Source organism: Homo sapiens, chromosome 7, assembly GCF_000001405.40.
Source record: "Homo sapiens chromosome 7, GRCh38.p14 Primary Assembly".
NCBI classification, from domain to species: Eukaryota; Metazoa; Chordata; class Mammalia; order Primates; family Hominidae; genus Homo; species Homo sapiens.
In genome coordinates, this window is record NC_000007.14 from 50,897,928 (window position 1) to 50,901,131 (window position 3,204).

At 45.5% G+C, this 3,204-nt stretch overlaps 2 annotated features.

The window, feature by feature from the left end:
- Positions 494-1,287: an enhancer, noted in NCBI's record as "NANOG-H3K27ac-H3K4me1 hESC enhancer chr7:50966118-50966911 (GRCh37/hg19 assembly coordinates)". NCBI's record gives its function as "activates a minimal SCP1, AML or CMV promoter by ChIP-STARR-seq in primed H9 embryonic stem cells {active_cell/tissue: H9 hESC(primed)}" and the evidence as "EXISTENCE:reporter gene assay evidence [ECO:0000049][PMID:30033119]".
- Positions 1,288-2,080: an enhancer, noted in NCBI's record as "NANOG-H3K27ac-H3K4me1 hESC enhancer chr7:50966912-50967704 (GRCh37/hg19 assembly coordinates)". NCBI's record gives its function as "activates a minimal SCP1, AML or CMV promoter by ChIP-STARR-seq in primed H9 embryonic stem cells {active_cell/tissue: H9 hESC(primed)}" and the evidence as "EXISTENCE:reporter gene assay evidence [ECO:0000049][PMID:30033119]".

A 3,204-nucleotide genomic window follows, 5' to 3' on the forward strand; every position in this document is an offset into this window, starting at 1 on the left:
TCGCCACATAAACAGAATTAAAAACAAAAACCACCTGATTTTCTCAATAGACACAGAAAGTACTTTTCATAAAATCATAAACACCCTCAACAAACTAGGCACTGAAGGAACATACTTCAAAATAATAGGAGCCATCATCATACTGAATGGGCAAAGGATGGAAACATTCTCCTTAAGAACTGGAACGAGACGAGGATGCTCACTCTCATCACGCCTGTTCAACATAGTTCTGTAAGTCCTAGCCAGAGAAATCAGGCAACAGAAAGAAATAAAAGGAAAAGAAGTCAAATTGTCTCTCTTTGCTAATTATATGATTCTATGCCTAGAAAACCCAAAAGGCTCTGCCAGAAGCCTCTTGAAATTGATAAATAACTTCAGTAAAGTTCAGGATACAAAATCAATGTAAAAAATCCGTAAAAAAATTTTTTTTGAGACAGAGTCTCACTTTGTTGCCCAGGCTGGAGTGTAGTGGTGTGATCACAGCTCACTTCAGCCTTGACCTTGTGGGCTCAAGCGATCCTCCCACCTCACCCTCCTGAGTAGCTGGGACTAAGGGATGCACCACTTTGCTTGGCTAATTTTTTTTAACGTCAGAAATTCCTGCTAACTGGCCAATTTAAAAAAATTTTTTTAGAGATGGGGTTTCACTACGTTGCCCAGGCTGGTCTCAAACTCCTGGCCTCAAGCAATCCTCCCACCTTGGCCTCCCAAAGTATTGAGATTACAGGCATGAGCCGCTGCACCTAGCCCTTCAGCAGCATTTCTACACACCAATTGCATTCAAGCTGAGTGACAAACAGGAATGCAATCCCATTTACAGTAACCACAAAAAAAAATAGCTAGGAATATATCTTACCAAGGATGTGAAACATCTCTGCAAGAACTACAAAATGCTGCTGAAAGAAATCACAAATGGGGGGAGGAGCCAAGATGGCCGAATAGGAACAGCTCCAGTCTACAGCTCCCAGTGTGAGCGACGCAGAAGACGGGTGATTTCTGCCTTTCCATCTGAGGTACCGGGTTCATCTCACTAGGGAGTGCCAGACAGTGGGCGCAGGCCAGTGGGTGCGCGCACCGTGCGCAAGCCGAAGCAGGGCGAGGCATTGCCTCACTTGGGAAGCGCAAGGGGCCAGGGAGTTCCCTTTCCGAGTCAAAGAAAGAGGTGACGGACGCACCTGGAAAATCGGGTCACTCCAACCCGAATATTGCGCTTTTCAGACCGGCTTAAAAAACGGTGAACCACAAGATTATATCCCACACCTGGCTCGGAGGGTCCTACGCCCACGGAATCTCGCTGATTGCTAGCACAGCAGTCTGAGATCAAACTTTAAGGCGGCAGCGAGGCTGGGGGAGGGGCGCCCGCCATTGCCCAGGCTTGCTTAGGTAAACAAAGCAGCCAGGAAGCTTGAACTGGGTGGAGCCCACCACAGCTCAAGGAGGCCTGCCTGCCTCTGTAGGCTCCACCTCTGGGGGCAGGGCACAGACAAACGAAAAGACAGCAGTAACCTCTGCAGACTTAAGTGTCCCTGTCTGACAGCTTTGAAGAGAGCAGTGGTTCTCCCAGCACGCAGCTGGAGATCTGAGAACCGGCAGACTGCCTCCTCAAGTGCGTCCCTGACCCCTGACCCCCGAGCAGCCTAACTGGGAGGCACCCCCCAGCAGGGGCACACTGACACCTCACACTGCAGGGTATTCCAACAGACCTGCAGCTGAGGGTCCTGTCTGTTAGAAGGAAAACTAACAAACAGAAAGGACATCCACACCGAAAACCCATCTGTACATCACCATCATCAAAGACCAAAAGTAGATAAAACCACAAAGATGGGGAAAAAACAGAACAGAAAAACTGGAAACTCTAAAATGCAGAGCGCCTCTCCTCCTCCAAAGGAACGCAGTTCCTCACCAGCAACGGAACAAAGCTGGATGGAGAATGACTTTGACGTGCTGAGAGAAGAAGGCTTCAGACGATCAAATTACTCTGAGCTACGGGAGGACATTCAAGCCAAAGGCAAAGAAGTTGAAAACTTTGAAAAAAATTTCGAAGAATGTATAACTAGAATAACCAATACAGAGAAGTGCTTAAAGGAGCTGATGGAGCTGAAAACCAAGGCTCGAGAACTATGTGAAGAATGCAGAAGCCTCAGGAGCCGATGCGATCAACTGGAAGAAAGGGTATCAGCAATGGAAGATGAAATGAATGAAATCAAGCGAGAAGGGAAGTTTAGAGAAAAAAGAATAAAAAGGAATGAGCAAAGCCTCCAAGAAATATGGGACTATGTGAAAAGACCAAATCTACGTCTGATTGGTGTACCTGAAAGTGATGGGGAGAATGGAACCAAGTTGGAAAACACTCTGCAGGATATTATCCAGGAGAACTTCCCCAATCTAGCAAGGCAGGCCAACGTTCAGATTCAGGAAATACAGAGAACGCCACAAAGATACTCTTCGAGAAGAGTAACTCCAAGACTCATAATTGTCAGATTCACCAAAGTTGAAATGAAGGAAAAAATGTTAAGGGCAGCCAGAGAGAAAGGTCGGGTTACCCTCAAAGGGAAGCCCATCAGACTAACAGCGGATCTCTTGGCAGAAACCCTACAAGCCAGAAGAGAGTGGGGGCCAATATTCAACATTCTTAAAGAAAAGAATTTGCAACCCAGAATTGCATATCCAGCCAAACTAAGCTTCATAAGTGAAGGAGAAATAAAATACTTCACAGACAAGCAAATGCTGAGAGATTTTGTCACCACCAGGCCTGCCCTAAAAGAGCTCCTGAAGGAAGTGCTAAGCATGGAAAGGAACAACCGGTACCAGCTGCTGCAAAATCATGCCAAAATGTAAAGACCATCGAGACTAGGAAGAAACTGCATCAACTAACGAGCAAAATCACCAGCTAACATCATAATGACAGGATCAAATTCACACATAACAATATTAACTTTAAATGTAAATGGACTAAATTCTCCAATTAAAAGACACAGACTGGCAAATTGGATAAAGAGTCAAGATCCATCAGTGTGCTGTATTCAGGAAACCCATCTCACGTGCAGAGACAGACATAGGCTCAAAATAAAAGGATGGAGGAAGATCTACCAAGCAAATGGAAAACAAAAAAAGGCAGGGGTTGCAATCCTAGTCTCTGATAAAACAGACTTTAACCAACAAAGATCAAAAGAGACAAAGAAGGCCATTACATAATGGTAAAGG